This window comes from Homo sapiens, chromosome 19 (genome assembly GCF_000001405.40).
Source record: "Homo sapiens chromosome 19, GRCh38.p14 Primary Assembly".
NCBI lineage: Eukaryota > Metazoa > Chordata > Mammalia > Primates > Hominidae > Homo > Homo sapiens.
The window spans coordinates 7,357,023-7,373,546 of NC_000019.10; the positions used below are offsets into that span (position 1 = coordinate 7,357,023).

The following is a 16,524-nucleotide window of genomic DNA, read 5'->3' on the forward strand; positions in this document are numbered from 1 at the left end:
AGAAGAGTAATCATCAGGATAAAAGTTGTTGGTGGCTGTTGAGCTCTCATGAAGTTGGGCTCAGAGAGGTTGAGCGACTTGCTCGAGGTCACACAGCAAGTATATGCTGGAGGAACCGGGATTTGAAGCCGATTCTGTGTGAGGCCACTTTGATGTGTTCTGACTGATGAACAAAGCTGCCAGTGTGGGCAGCTGGAGTGCCTGGGGAGGGTTTTTAGATCCAACGGTGGATGGCGATCCTGAAGAATCAGTGTATCTGCCATGGATTACCAAAGTGTCTGCCTGTGACCCAGGTCCCTAAGAAGTTCTGTCCCTCTTGTGGCTGCTCAGCTCACCCTGTCTCCCTGCCCAGGCAGTTGAGGCTGGGATTTATATGCTAGCAGGTGGGGGAGTGAGCTGTGGGAACTGACAGTGACTCTTAAACCCTTTTATGGCTGATGCTGTGGGGGCTGATAGTGGAGGAGGCTGCCTGGGACTGAATCCAGGCTGATGGACAGCTCCTTGGAGAGAAGCATGGGGGTGGGGAGCAGGGTGCATCCCCAACAGAGCCCCTTTCCCTGAGGCCTCATTTCTCCTCTGGCTTAGCTCCCCTGGGAGAGTGACTCCCTTACAGCGTGTCTCCTGTCATCAGCCTTGGAAAGCAGGGAAGAATGGCCTTTTTGTCACCCTCTTAAGCTCTGTAATTGGCTGTCTGGGCACCTAATAGGAATTTCCCGGGGAAAGGGTGGGATTGGACTTGGGGTGGCAAGTAAGGCTTGAGAGAGGAGAACTGAGACCTTCAGTGAAGGGTCCCAGTGCCCCTTCCCCATCAACTGCCCCCATTACCCATTCTGCTCATGCTTTTTCATTCATTCCTCAATCTGTTGGTGCATGTCTGATGAGTGCAGTCTGTGCCTCGCTCACCTTGGTTTCCTTCCTGTGTGGCTCTTCTGCCACAATTCTGTCCCTCTTCCTTCTATATGTGCTTCCTCACCCCCTCAGAATGCCATCTCCTGAGTGTAATGCATCGCTGCCTCTGGACACTGCCATATAACCTATCCATCCCACTATCTACCCATTCATCCCTGCAACCATGCAGCCATCCAACTATCTATCCAGCCAACCAGCCAATCAGCCAACTCTTCAACCATCCATCCTTCCATCCATCCATCCATCCATCCATCCAATCAGCCAACTCTTCAACCATCCATCCTTCCATCCATCCATCCATCCATCCATCCACCCATCCACCCATTCTTCCATCCATTCTTCCATCCATCCATCCATCCATCCACTCTTCCATCCATCCAACCATCCATCCATTCAACATCCATTCATCCATCTACCTATCCATCCACCCATCCACTCATACATCCAATTATCTACTCATTCATCCATTCACCTATCCATCCATCTACCTGTCCAACCATTCATCCATCCACCTATCCATCCATCTACCTATCCAACCATTCACCCATCTGTCTATCCACTCATTCATCCATCCATCCATCCTTCTACACATCCACCCATCCATTCAACCATCCACTCACCCATCCATCCATCCATCCATCCAACCATCTATCCATTTATCTACCCATTTATCCAAATATATGGGCACTGACTCTGTGCCCAACCCAACACAGCAGAGGATAGCCTGGTGATTGGGATCTCTTCTTTGAATTCAGAAACATCTGAATTTGACTCCCAGCTCTACCTCATACCAGATTGGTATGGCCTTGGTAAAGTCAGTGCACCTCTCTAAACCTCAGTTTCCCTTTCTATAAAATGAGGACTCAGAGTTGCTGTGAGTATAGAAGAGTGAAAAGTACATGATGGGCTTAGCACTAAGCCAGACATATAGAAAGTGATTGATACAAGATTTTACCTTTTGGAGCTTGGGGATGTAAAAGTGGATCAGATATAGTCACTGCCCTCACAGACCTCATGCTCTAGAGCATGGATCAGCAAACCTTTTCTATAAAGAGCTAGGCAGAGCAATCCAAAGTCCTATGGCTAAAATTGTCTGCAGAGGATCTGAGACAGAGCCCTCAGTTGCCAGGCAGGAAGAGTGGTAGGAACAGCACAGAGATACCAGGAGAATGGTGAGTTGGGTGTGCATGTGTGTGACAGGGAGGTAAGAGGACAGGCTGAGGAGGGCTCTGAATGTCATTCTAAGGGGACTGGAGTCTATAGGGGTGGGGATCAGTAGAAGGGGAGTGACCATCAGAGGGTTATATCAAAAGGACACACCAACTCCAGGACAGAAGATGGACTACAGGGGAGAGACTGGTAGCTGAGGATCAGTGACAAATGTGATTGGCAATCGTTTGGGGCAATTGTGGTTGGTAATTGACAGAGCTCAGTCTATGACACTGGGATTAGGGCTTAGCTCATAATATTGGAATCAGGACACAGCCTATGACATCAGGATTGGAGCTCAGTCTATGATGCCAGATCAAGATTCAGTCTATGACACCAGGATTGGGGCTCAGTCTATGATACCAGGATAAGAGCTAAGACTATGACACCAGGATTAGGGCTTAGCCTATGACACTAGGATCAGGGATCAATATATGACACCAGGATAAAGGCTTAGTCTATGACACTAGGAGGGGGGTTCATTCTATGATACAAGAATGAATGCTCAACCAATGACAGCCAGATGAAGTTCAGTCTGTGATATCAGGATCAAGGCTCAGTATATGACACCAGGATCATGGCTCAGTCTGTGACACAAAGATTGGAGTTCAATCTGTAAAACTAGGATCAGAGTTGAGTCAGTCATTGGGAACTAGGATCACAGTTGAGTTCATCATCAGGTCAAGCTCAACCTGTTCCTCGGTCAGAAGCTTCCCTATAAAAACAAAACTCAGCCAGGCACAGTGGCTCATGCCTGTAATCCCAGCACTTTGGGAGGCCGAGGTGGGAGGATCATATGAGACCAGGAGTTCGAGACTAGCCTAGCCAACATGGTGAAACCCCATTTCAACTAAAAATGCAAAAATTAGCTGGACATGGTGGTACACATCGGTGGTCCCAGCTACTCAGAAGTCTGAGACAGGAGAATCGCTTGTACCCAGGAGGTGGAGACTGCAGTGAGCCAAGATGGAACCACTCCAGCCTGGGTGACAGAGCAAGACTCTCTTGAAACAAAACAACAACAACAACAACAACAACAAAACATGCACAATCACACAACCCTGGCATTTCTTTTCTTTTCTTTTTTCATTCTTTTCCTTTTTTTTTTTCTTTGAGACAGAGTCTCACTCTGTCACCCAGGCTGGAGTGCAATGGCACAATCTCAGTTCACTGCATCCTGCCCTTCCCTGGCTGAAGAGATTCCCATGTGTCAGCCTCCCTAGTAGCTGGAATTATAAGCACATGCCACCATGCCCAGCTAATGTTTGTATTTTCAGTAGAGACTAGGTTTCGCCATGTTGGTCAGGCTGGTCTCAAACTCCTCACCTCAAGTGATCCGCCTTCCTCGGCCTCCCAAAGTGCTGGGATTACATGTGTGAGCCACTGGGCCCGGCCAACCCTGGCCTTTCACCTTTGATCTTTGGATCCCAGACCTTCAGGGTTCACAGATACAGGGCATGAGGTCCTGCAGGCTACAGGAGGCCTCAGGCCTCCACAAGGACCCTGTCCAGTGAAGCAAGCCAACCCTGCAGGCTCTCCTCCAGCCCTAAGGGGACTTGGCTGAGGAATGGGACTGCCTTTCCCCTCCCAAGCTCCCACCAACCTCCAGGACCCTCCCCCACATCTGGCTTTCCTCCTCCTTCACAGCCTGCTTGTTTCGTTTCTGTGAGTCATAGATGCTGCTTCGGCTTCTGGGTGGGGAAGAGAACAGATGCAAAGCTTAACAACAGCAGCTGAACAGAGTCCCTCCAACCAGCCCGGGAGGGCAACCTGGAAAGCAGTGATGGTGGAAACCCTGGCATTGCTCGTTACTGTCCAGCCACTCATCTGTGAATACAGGTGGCATCAGGGGGCAAATTTACCTTGAAGCAATGGAAACTGAAGCTTCAGGCCCCATGTGTACCTGCCCCATCCAAAGCTCTGCAAGAGGCTCCAACAAAAAACTTTTTAGGAACAGCTTTATTGAGCTACCATATACTTCACCCATTTAAAGCATACAATTCAGTGGTTTTAGGCCAGGTGCAATGGCTCATGCCTGTAATCCCAGCACTTTGGGAGGCCAAGGCGGGGGGATTGCCTGAGCTCAGGAGTTCCGGACCAGCCTGGCCAACGTAGCAAGACCCCCGTCTCTACTAAAAATAAAAAAAATTAGCCAGGTGTGGTGGTGCATACGTGTAATCCCAGCTACTCAACAGGCTGAGGCAGGAGAATCACTCAAATCCCGGAGGTGGAGGTTGCAGTGAGCCAAGATGGCGCCACTGCACTCCAGCCTGGGCAACAGAGTGAGGCTCTATCTCAAAAAAGAGACTGCATAACAGCGGTTCCTCAAAAAGCTAAGCATAGATTAGCATGTACTCCAGCAATTCCCTTCCTAGGTAACGACCCAAGACAATGGAAAACACACATCCGTGCAATTGCGTACATCTGTATGCAATTGTTCATGGCAGCGTGATTTGAAATAACCAAATGGTGAAAACGACCCAAATGTCCATCAACAGATCAATGGATACACGAAATGTGGTATCTCCATGCAATTGAATATTATTCAGCCCTAAAACAAATAAAGCACTGGCCGGGCACCGTGGCTCACACCTGTAATCCCTACACTTTGGGAGGCTGAGGCATGCAGATCACCTGAGGTCAGGAGTTCTAGACTAGCCTGGCCAACATGGTGAAACCCCAACTCTATTAATCACACAAAATTAGCCAGGTGCAGTGGTGTGCACCTGTAATCCCAGCTACTCAGGAGGCTGAGGCAGGAGAATGGCTTGAACTCGGGAGGCGGAGGTTGTGGTGAGCTGAGATCACGCCACTGCACTCCAGCTTGGGGGCAACAGAGCAAGACTCTGTGGAAGAAGAAGAAGAAGAAGAAGAAGGAGAAGGAGAAGGAGAAGGAGAAGGAGAAGGAGAAGGAGAAGGAGAAGGAGAAGGAGAAGGAGAAGGAGAAGGAGAAGGAGAAGGAGAAGGAGAAGGAGAAGGAGAAGGAGAAGGAGAAGGAGAAGGAGAAGGAGAAGGAGGAGAAGAAGGAGAAGAAGGAGAAGAAGGAGAAGAAGGAGAAGAAGAAGGAGAAAAGAAGAGGAAGAAGAGGAAGAAGAAGACAAGAAGAGGAAGAGGAAGAAGAAAGGAAGAAGGAAGGAGAAGAAGAGGAGGAGGAAGAAGGAGAAGGAGGAAGAAGAAGGAAGAAGGTGGAGGAGGAGGAGGAAGAGGAGGAGGAGGAAAAACAATGTGGGCATTGGGTACTTGCATTTGGTCTACGGGACCATTAGCATCATTGATCAACTGAGGGCTTTTTCCTAGAGCAGGCATAACAAATTGATTTCATACATAAGCCAACTTGGATCACCTGGTGATGGCTGTTGGAACTGGTGTGTTGGGAAGAATCCTGAGGGGGCAAATGGCTAAGCAGGAAATTGACTCATGATTGACTAGCAATGTCTGCCATAGGCTTGGGATGGGGAAGAGGTGACACGTATGTTGGCTTCAAGATCATTGAGACCATCTTCCCCCTCCCCTCACCAACTCATTTTATAGTTGAGAAAACTGAGGTCCAGGGTGACCAGCAACAGATGCAGAATCCAGGTCCTGGCTTCCTCAGCACTCCCAGCTTATCCCTGACACCTTGTCCCTCCTTTCTCCACAGGCTCTGAGCCCAAGTCATGTGTCCAGCCTTTTGACTCTGGAGCTGTGGCTTCAGCCACCAAGAGCAGCAGTGGATCCTGGAAACCTGAGAACCCAGACTTCTTCTCTGCCATGGGGGATGATCAGGCAGGTGTCTGACTGCTGAAACGGGCAGGAGCTGATGACGACAGTGGCAGCAAGTACACTTTGTTTAGCACCTGCATTTTACCAGGCACTTTGTGTACATTATCTCAGGGAATCCTCATCGAAACTTGCAAAGTCATTTATTATCCTGTTTTACCTATGAGGAAACCAGAATCTGTTCTGAAATAAGAAGAGGGAGGAAAGGAGCAATGGAGGGATGAATGGATGGATGGATAGATGGATGGGTGGGTGGGTGTCTGGATAGATGGATGGATAGATGGAAGGAAAGAGGAAATCAAGGAAAGATGAGTAGAAGGATGGATGGATGGATGGATACGTGGATGAATAGAAGGGTGGCTGGGTGGATGAATGGATGACGGATGACTAGAAGGAAGGGAGGAAAGATGGGTAGAAGTGTGGGTGAATGGATAAATGGATGATGGGTGAATAAAAAGAAGAAAGCTAGATGGATAGATGGATGGACTGATGGAAGGAAGGAGGATGGATGAAGGAAGGAAGGAAAGAAGGAAGTATGGATGGATAGGTAGAAGGATGGGTGGATTAAAGGAAGGAAGGAGAGATGGTTGATGAATGAAAGAGTAGAAAGGTGGGTGAATGGAAGGAAGGAAGAAAGATGAGAAATGTGGGTGGATGGATACATGAATGATTGATGAATAAAATGAAAGATGGAAGGAAGGAAGATGGATGGATGAAAGGAAAGAGGATGGATAAATGAAAGAATGAAGGAAGGATGGATGGATAATGGATGGGTGAGTGGATGGATGAGAAGAAATGTGAGTGGAAGGAAGGAAGGAAGAAAGATGGATGGGTGAAAGGAAGGAAGATGGCTAGATTGATGAAAGGAAGGAGGATGGATAAATGAAAGAATGAAGGAAGGATGGATGGATAATGGGTGGGTGAATGGATGGATGAGAAGAAGGGTGAGTGAAAAGGAAGGAAAAAAGGAAGAAAGGAAGGAAGGGGGATGGATGGATGGGTTGATGGAAGGAAGGAGGATGGATAAATAAAAGAATGAAGGAAGGATAGATAAATAATGGGTGGGTGAATGGATGGATGAGTAGAAGGGTGAGAGGAAGGAAGGAAGGAAGATGGGTGGATGAAAGGAAGGAGGATGGATAAATGAATGAATGAAGGAAAGATGGATGGGTAATGGATGGATGAATGGATGGATGAGAAGAAGAGTGAGTGGAAGGAAGGAAGATGGATAAATAAAAGAATAAAGGAAGGATGGATGGATAACGGATGGGTGAATGGATAGATGAGAAGACGGGTGAGTGGAAGGAAGGAAAGAAGGAAGGAAGTAAGGAAGATGGATGGATGGGTTGATGGAAGGAAGGAGGATGGATAAATGAAAGGATGAAGGAAGGATGGACGGATAATGGAGGGGTAATGGATAGATGAGAAGAAGGATGAGAGGAAGAAAGGAAGGAAGGAGGGAAGGAAAGGAAGGAAGGAAGGAAGGAAGGAAGGAAGGAAGGAAGGCAGGCTGACTAAAACCAAATACAGCCTAGAAAGGTAGACTGACTTGCCTAAGTTCCCGTCATGGCAGAGTTGGGATTCAAGCCCATTCTGACTCTGCAGCCTGCGTCCATACCCTCTGCTCTCATCACACTTTCTCTAAGCGCTTATGTCAGGGGCCTGTGGGGTAGGCCAGCCCCCAGGCTCCAGTCTCAAAAGAAAGACCCTGAAAGCTTGTGGTCCCTGGGTGGAGTTGGGGCACAGTTAACATCAAGTCCTGATGGTGTGTGGCTGGGACTGAGGTCGTGGCAAAGGTCCTGGTGACAGCCTCCAGGCTGCTTCAGGGAAGGTCTCCTGGGGTGGAAGATGTGGCATCTAGGAGGTGCATCCTTAAGAGGGTAGGGGCCAGGGAGAGGTCTCGTAAACATAGTTCAGCTCCAGCTCCACCAGGGACCAAGACAGTCAGGTGGTGTGTGTTGGGTCTCCAGGAAGCAGACTCAGACGGAGTTGGGCTGAAATGGGCAAGCTTTTATATCCCCTTGTCAATCACCCATTGCTGATGGGCTGCCCAGGAAGGGGGCTGAGAACTGACAGTTCCTTCTCCCACAGCCTCGGAGGATCTGAGTGGTTTTCCACAACATCCGCTACACTAAGGAAGGAGGATCTGTTACGGTTAAGCCATAAAGGGCATCCCATGTACCCAGGCTTGTCATTTTATGGAAGAGGACACTGAGGGGCTGGGCATGGTGGCTCGTGCCTGTAATCACAGCACTTTGGGAGGCCGAGGCGGGCAGATCACTTGAGGTCAGGAGTTTGAGACCAGTCTGGGCAACATGCCCAGCACAGGCCAGCCTGAGCAACGGGGTGAAACCCTGTCTCTACTAAAAATACAAAAATTAGCTGCGCATGGAGGTGTGCACCTGTAGTCCCAACTACTCGGGAGACTGGGGCAAGAGAATCGCTTGAACCCAGGAGGTGGGGATTGCAGTGAGCCAAGATCACACCATTGCACTCCAGCCTGGGTGACAGAATGAGGAAAAAAGACACTGAGATGCAAGCAGTGAAGGAATTAGTCCAGATGTCATGGAAGGTCCCGGGTAAAGGATCACAGAACCAGGACTGGAGTTTAGCCCTGCGCCCTCCCTGGGATCTGGACCTCTTTGAAAGAGAACCATGGGATGCAGGCAGTTGGACAGGTAACACGGCAATGGGGGAACGGTGGGCTCTGGGGAAGCAGGCAGGCCTGTGAGTAGGCAGCAAGGCTGTGCCCCCACCCGCTGGCAAATCTGCCCCCTCTTCCTGAGTCTCGATTCTCATCATCCACTTTGTCTTCAGAGCTGGAGACCAGGGCATTTTCCTTGTCCCTTCCTCTCCCATCAGGCACCAAGTCCTGTGAATTTTGAACCCCAAGGACCCTCCATTTCTGTGCATTGCACCCTCCTTCTCCTTCCCTGGTGGTGGTCCCCGTCATGGCTCCCCCAGGTAATCTGCACGGGTGTCCTGGCTGGGCCACCTGCCTGCATCTTGGCCCCATCCAAGCCCATCTCTGCTCTGCAAGCTGAACACATATGTATTTTTTTTTGAGACAGGGTCTCACTCCATCACCCAGGCTGGAGTGCAGTGGCACAATCTCGGCTCACTGCAACCTCCACCTCCCAGGTTCAAGAGATTCTTGTGCCTCAGCCTCCTGAGTAGCTGAGATTACAGGCACCCACCACCACATCCAGCTAATTTTTGTATTTTTAGAAGAGATGGGGTTTTGCCATGTTGGCCAGGCTGTTCTCAAACTCCTGGACTCATGTGATCCACCCGCCTCAGGCCTCCTGAAGTGCTGGGATTACAGGCGTGAGCCACGGCGCCCAGCCAGCAAGCTGAATAATCTTTCTGAAGGCCAATCACTGCCCTCCCTACCACCACTATTGGAAACTTCCAGATTAAATCCATGCTTTGGCCAACCAGACTCGTGTTCCCCAACGGTCCACACCTCAGCCATAGGAACATTTGCCATTTGCTTAAAGGCGCCATGAGCTCTCCAGCCTGCAGACTTCTGGATGTCCTGTTCTTTCACTGCCTGTAATGTGCTTACCTGCAGTATCTGCCTAGCCAGCTCCTACTCAGTCCTCAGACCTTCACTTGCTGCCATTTCCTCCAGGAAGCCCTCCCTGATACTTTTTGGAGAGCGTAATCTGTTCCCCCTCAGATCTTCCCCAGCCTGCTGGCTGGAACCTTCTATCATTCTTGACTATAACGGTTTGGCTTAATCATCTATCTTCTCCAATTAGCTCCATGAGGACAGGGGAGACTGTGTGATTCCATTTGGGGTTGTCAGAGGCTTGCTCAGAGGAAGGGTCCTGACTCCTGAAATTTATTTATTTTATGTAATTTAATTATTTATTTGTAGAGACGGGGTCTTCTCTGTCACCCAGGTTGGAGTGCAGTGGTGTGATCATAGCTCACTGCAACCTCTGCCTCCTGAACTCAAGCAACCCTCCCACCTCAGTTTCCAGAGTAGCTGGGACTACAGGTGCACGCCACCACATCCGGCTAGTTGTTTTTTTTTTTTAAAGATGGGATTTCGCTATGCTGCCCGGGCTGGTCTCAAACCCCTAGTCTCAACTGATCCTCCTACTTTAACCTCCCAAAGCACTGGGATTACAGGTGTGAGCCACGGCCCTGGCCCCCTGACTCCTGAAATTTAAAAACAGCAATATATTATTCTATCCGCCAAGGTTTGCATTGCCCAAGCATCTCATTTCACCTGCACAACACAATCCTACAAGTAGGTGGCAGTATGCCCATTTTAGAGATGGAAAAAACTGAGGCTCAGAGAGCTTTAGGTACTTGATCGAGGTCATGCTAAGCTAACAACAGTTACCATAGCAGGATGCAAACCTTGACTGAGGTCTTTTTACCCAATGACCATTTGAAAACCATCTGCCCTGTGAGGCACGGTGGCTCATGTCTGTAATTCCAGCACTTTGGGAGGCCGAGGTGGGATGGTCACTTTAGCCCAGGATTTCAAGACCAGCCTGGGCAACATAACAAGACTCTGTCTCTACAAAAAATAAAAAAATACTAGCTGGGGCCGGGCGTGGTGACTCACGCCTGTAATCCCAGCACTTTGGGAGGCTGAGGCAGGCAGATCACCTGAGGTCAGGAGTTCGAGACCAGTCTGGCCAACATGGTAAAACCCGTCTCTACTAAAAATAAAAAAATTAGCCAGGTGTGGTGGTGGACACCTGTAATCCCAGCTACTCGGGAGACTGAGGCAGGAGACTCACTTGAACCCAGGAGGTGGAGGTTGCAGTGAGCCAAGATCGCACCATTGCACTCCAGCCTAGGCAACAAGAGTGAAACTCCATCTCAAAAAAAAAAAAATATATATATATATACACATATATATATTTTATATATATATACACATATATATATTTTATATATATATACACATATATATATTTTATATATATATATACACATATATATTTTTATATATATATATTTTATATATATTTTTTATATATATATATTTTATATATATATATAAAAGCTGGGCATGGTAGTGCAGACCTGGAAAGAAGGAAGAAAGGAAAGAAAGAGAGAGAGAGAGAGAGAGAGAGGGAGGGAGGGAGGGAGGGCGGAAGGAAGGAAGGAAGGAAGGAAGGAGAAGACTATCTGCTCTATGATTTACTTGCCATTTTGTTTGAAATTAAGCCACTTTTTTACATGACAAAATGGGACCAGGGACACATTATGCTTTGGTGTGTTATCTTTTTCCAACAGACAACAAGATCAATAACTATTTACATTTTTAAAATAAGCATGTATTCATGTACTATGCAAAACTGTGCGTGGTGAGCCTTTCTGAAGAGTGGGGAACCCTGGGCTGTTTCACCTCTGGATTTGATGGGGGATCCCATCCCCCAAGGCTCCCCCAGGTCTAGGGAACAGGAGCCTGGATTTATAGCATCCTCTTTGGGGTGTCAGGGCCAGCAGGGCAGCGTACGATGCTTACTCAGATACCTGGAAAGACCCCCACTGGGCTGGCTCTCATCTTTTCTTGCCCAAGATATGTCAGAACAAAGGTGCAAGCTCCAAAATAAAAGATGAGACACCCCCTCTCTCCCTCCCTCAATGTACCTACCAGTGGGAGCTGGAACAGCCTGTACTGCCTGGCTCCCCACTCCCCAGCTCCACCCCCATCTCTGGCCTGGCTCCCACCTCTGCCTCCTCTGAGGGAGGCCAGATGCAGGAGAAAGAGGGAGGCTCAGCCAGGCCAAGAGGCTGTCCTGACGTGTTTATATTTACAGGAGGATGAAAACCAGAGACACAAAAAAACCTTCGGGGGCTGCGACAGAAAAGACAGTAGGAGGTTTTCCAGGCACTGGGGGTAGGAATGGAGCCATTTGGGGGGTAAGTGGGAATTTGAAAGGAGGCTGCCGCCCAAGTCACATGAGGGCCAGCCAGAGCTAGAGCTGTGGCTCTTTAGAAAGAGACTGAAAAAGAGGGACCCTGGTGATCAAAAGGCAGAGGGAGGAAGAGGACGCAGAGGAGGAGTCAGCAGGGAGAAGGGAGGGAAATGAGGACGGTGGCCACAAAGGAGAGATTCAAGAAGGCAGGCTGTGGAAACAGCAGAGTGAGTCCTTAGGAAGTTAAACCTAAAATTGACCAGGCGCGGCGGCTCATGCCCGTAATCCCAGCACTTTGGGAGGCCGAGGCGGGTGAATCATGAGGTCAGGAGTTCAAGAGCAGCCTGGCCAAGATGGTGAAACCGTGTCTCTACTAAAAATACAAAATTAGGCGGGTGCAGTGACTCACGCCTGTAATCCCAGCAGTTTGGGAGGCTGAGGCGGATGGATCATCTGAGGTCGGGGGTTTGAGACCAGCCTGGGCAACATGGAGAAACCCTATCTCTACTAAAAATACGAAATTAGCTGGGCGTGGTGGCACATGCCTGTAATCCCAGCTACTCGGGAGGCTGAGGCAGGAGAATCGCTTGAACCCAGGAGGCAGAGGTTGCAGTGAGCTGAGATCGGGCCATTGCACTCCAGCCTAGGCAACAAGAGTGAAACTCCGTCTCAGGAAAAAAAAGAAAAAAAAAAGGAAAGAAAGAAAGGAAAGTTAAACCTAAAATTGGCTGGGCACGGTGGCTCATGCCCGTAATCCCAGCCCTTTGGGAGGCTGAGGCAGGTGAATCATGAGGTCAGGAGTTCAAGAGCAGCCTGGCCAAGATGGTGAAACTCTGTCTCTACTAAAAATACAAAAATTAGCCGGGCATTGTGGCAGGCGCCTGTAATTCCAGCTACTTGGGAGGCTGAGGCAGGAGAATTGTTTGAACCCGGGAGGCAGATGTTTCAGTGAGCTGATACTATGCCATTGCATTCCAGCCTGGGCGACAGAGTGAGACTCCATCTCAAAAAAATTAAAAGAAAGAAAGAAAGAAAGTTAAACCTAAAATTGCCATGCAATTGTGCCACTGCACTCCAGCCCAGGAGACAGAGCGAGATGCCGTCTCAAAAAATAAAATAAATTAGTTTGGGCGCAGCGGCTCACGCTTGTAACCCCAGCACTTTCGGAGGCTGAGCGGGGAGGATCATCTGAAATCAGGAATTTCAGACCAGCCTCGGCAACATGATGAAACCGTGTCTCTACTGAAAATAGAAAAATCAGCCGGGCATGGTGGTGCACACCTGTAATCCCAACTACTCAGGAGGGTGAGGCACGAGAATCACTTGAACCCAGGAGGCAGAGGTTGCAGTGAGCCGAGATGGTGCCACTCCACTCCAGCCTGGGTGACAGAGCAAGACTCTGTCTCAAAAAGTAAAAAATAGGGGCTGGGCGCGGTGGCTCACGCCTGTAATCCCAGCACTTTGGGAGGCCAAAGCGGGTGGATCACGAGGTCAGGAGATCGAGACCATCCTGGCTAACACAGGGAAACTCCATCTCTACTAAAAATACAAAAAAATTAGCCGGGCGTGGTGGCGGGGGCCTGTAGTCCCAGCTACTCGGGAGGCTGAGGCAGGAGAATGGCGTGAACCCGGGAGGTGGAGCTTGCAGTGAGCTGAGATTGCACCACTGCACTCCAGCCTGGGCAACAGAGTGAGACTCCATCTCAAAAAATAATAAATAAATAAAATAAATAAATAAATGTAAAAATAAAATTACCATATGATCCCGCAATTCCACTTCTGGGTATCTTCCCAGAAGAACTGAGAGCAAGGACCCACAGATATCTGCACACTGATGTTGATAGCAGCGTTATTCACAAGAGCCAACAGATGGAAAGAGCCCAGGTGTCTGCTGATGGATGGATGAATAAATGCGATGTGATCCATCCACACAATGGAATACAATTCAACCTTAAAAAGGAAGGAAATTCTGACACATGCTGCAACGTGGAGGAATCTTGAGGACGTTATGCTCGGTGAAATAAACCAGACACAAAAGGATAAATACTGTCTGATTCCACTCGTAGGAGGTCTCTGGACTCGTCGGGTTCATAGATTTACCACACCCCGCTTTTTTTTTTTCTTTCTTTCTTTCTTTGGAGACAGGGTCTTGCTTTGTCACCCAGGCTGGAGTGCGATAGCATGATCACAGCTCACTTCAGCTTTGACCTCCCAGGTTCAAGTGATCCTCCCACCTCAGCCTCCCATGTAGCTGGGACTACAGGAGCCTCCCACCATGCCCAGCTCACTTTTAAATTTTTTTGTAGAGATAGGGTCTTGTTATGTTGTCCAGGCGGGTCTCAAACTCCTGGGCTCAAGCGATCCTCCCAGATTGCTGGGATTCCAAGGCATGAGCCACCACGCCAGGCCTGGTCAGATTCATGGAGACAGAAAGTAGAAAGGTGGGTGCCAGGGGCTGGGAGGGGAATGAGGAGGCTGTGTTTCATGGGAACAGAATTTTAATTTGGGAAGATGAGAAAGTTCTGGAGATAGATGGAGGTGATGGTTGCACAGCAATGGGAATGTGCTTAATGATACTGAACTGGACACTGAAAAATGGTTAAGATGTGGGCCCGGGTACAGTGGCTCACGCCTGTAATCCCAACACTTTGGGAGGCTGAGGCAGGAGGATCACTTGAAGCTAGGAGTTTAAGACCATCCTGGCCAACATTGTGAAACCCCGTCTCTAATAAAAAATATATAAAAATTCACCAGGAGTGGTGGCACATGTCTGTAGCCCCAGCATCTTGGGAGGCCGAGGCAGTTGAATTGCCTGTGGTCAGGAGTTCGAGACCAACCCGGCCAACATTGTGAAACACCATCTCCACTAAAAATACAAAAATTAGCCGGACATAATGGTGGGTGCCTGTAATCCCAGCTACTCAGGAGGCTGAGGCAGAAGAATCACTTGAACCCGGGAGGTGAAGGTTGCAGTGAGCTGAGATTGTACCACTGCACTCCAGCCTGGGCGACAGAGCAAGACTCCATCTCAAAAAAAAAAAAGGTTACGATGATAAATGTTATGTGATGTGTATTTCACTGGAATAAAAAGAAGGGAGGGGCCAAATCTATAAAGACATCAACATGGGTGAGTTCTGGGTAAAGGGCAAACCCTGCGTAGCTCCTCCTTCCTCATCCCAAGACAAGTGTGGACACTGGCCCCTTGCCTCCTGCCGGCAAAGATCCCCAGCTGACAAATTGAGAGCATCCACCAAGGGCTGCCTGAGATCACATGGATGCCTGGAGCCACATCTCAGCACTGGCCTCGCATGGAGCCATGGGGGAAGCCCACTCGCCCACCTACCCACCAAACCCTGTGTGCAGACAGTCCTAACAAATGCCTGGAAAAGGACAATTCCTGTCCTGCAGATCCTGACAGCCCAGAGGAAGGGCACCTTACCAACCTTGAGGAGTCAGGAAGGCAACCTGGAGGGCATGCCCAAGCTGGGTTTTGACGGTTGCATAGGAGTTCACCAGACAGACTCAGGATGGGCCGGGTGGGAGAGGAGGTTTTGCAAGAAGAAAAGGCAGGTGCCCTGGCTGGACAGAATGACAAATACAATGACTGGGAGGAGAAGAGGGAAGTGAAGGACAAAAGAAGGGAAGGACAAAGAAATAGGAACAGGAGCAGAAACTGTACCAAAAAGAAAAAAAAAAAGAGAGAGAGATAATCAGATGGAAACTCAGTGACGAGAAGTGCTTTGCCAAGGCTAGAAGTAGGGGAATCTGGCATGGAAGACCAGACTTCTGGTCCTTTTGTGGGGGTGAGCTCTTGAAGGTCCAGGTTAGACAGGGGACTGGGGGACTACTCCCTCCCATTCCATCCCACCCGCTGTGAGGAGGGCGCTGAGCCCAGGAGGGACAGGTAGGGGACAGGCAGGGTCTGGATGTTGGGAGCAGGGACCTTGTGGTCAAGAGACCCCAGGTTCTGCTGCCCCTTGGTCAATGTCTTCTTCTCCCTCCTCACCTTCCCAACCTACAGGAGGATGATTTTCCCAGGCGGCTCAGCGAGAGTATGGAGGACCTCAGCCTGGATTTGGGGGCCCTTCAGGGCAGCGAGTATCTGCAGGACCTGGGCCTTGGGGCCCCTTCCCACAGCCAGCCTGGGGAGACCCCAGACAGCCGCCCCACCGGTGAAGAACCAGGAAGAGATTCTCTTTTCTCCAGCTTGGCAGGGTCCCAAGACCTGTCAAGGCGGCGCAGCTGGGAAAGGTCGCGGAGCTGCTCAGAGAGCTGGCGGAGGTCAGTTCCCCACTGCTGCCTGCTTCCCACAATGCACCCCTGGGACAGGGAAGAGGTCCAGAAGGCCAGAGCCAGGTCCTAAGACAAGCCACCCCTTGCACCTGCCGTGGTCCCCAACCTTTTTGGTACCAGGGACCAGTTTCATGGAAGACAATTTTTCCATGGACCCAGGGGGACAGGGGATACTTTCTGGACAATTCAAGCACATTCCATTTATCGTGCACTTTATTTATATTACGTTGTAATACATAATGAAATAATTATACAATTCATCATCATGTAGAATCAGTGGGAGCCCCGAGCTTGTTTTCCTGCACTAGACAGTCCATTCTGGGGGTGATGGGAGACAGTGACAGATCATCAGGCACTAGATTCTCTTGTTTTTGTGTTTGTTTTTTTTTTTTTGTTTTTGTTTTTTTTTTGAGATGGAGTCTCACTCCATTGCCCAGGCTGGAGTGCAGTGGCGTGATCTCGG

General features: G+C 49.4%; 1 protein-coding gene across 8 annotated transcripts in view; it reads left to right on the forward strand.

Moving 5' to 3' along the window:
- The window catches only part of ARHGEF18 (Rho/Rac guanine nucleotide exchange factor 18), a 131,053-nt gene that overhangs the window by 8,086 nt on the left and 106,443 nt on the right, over positions 1–16,524 (forward strand). For 7 of the 8 annotated variants that reach the window (XR_007066705.1, XM_006722706.4, NM_001367823.1 and 4 more), the window contains 2 exons: positions 5,759–5,883; positions 15,790–16,049. Coding sequence is in view for 7 of the 8 variants with exons in the window: in XM_011527836.3 (XP_011526138.1) it covers positions 5,759–5,883; positions 15,790–16,049 (385 nt within the window). In the remaining variant the exon portion in view is untranslated. Of the gene's footprint in view, positions 1–5,758; positions 5,937–15,789; positions 16,050–16,524 lie in introns of those variants that run through there. The other variant, XM_011527839.3, reaches the window with a different exon arrangement.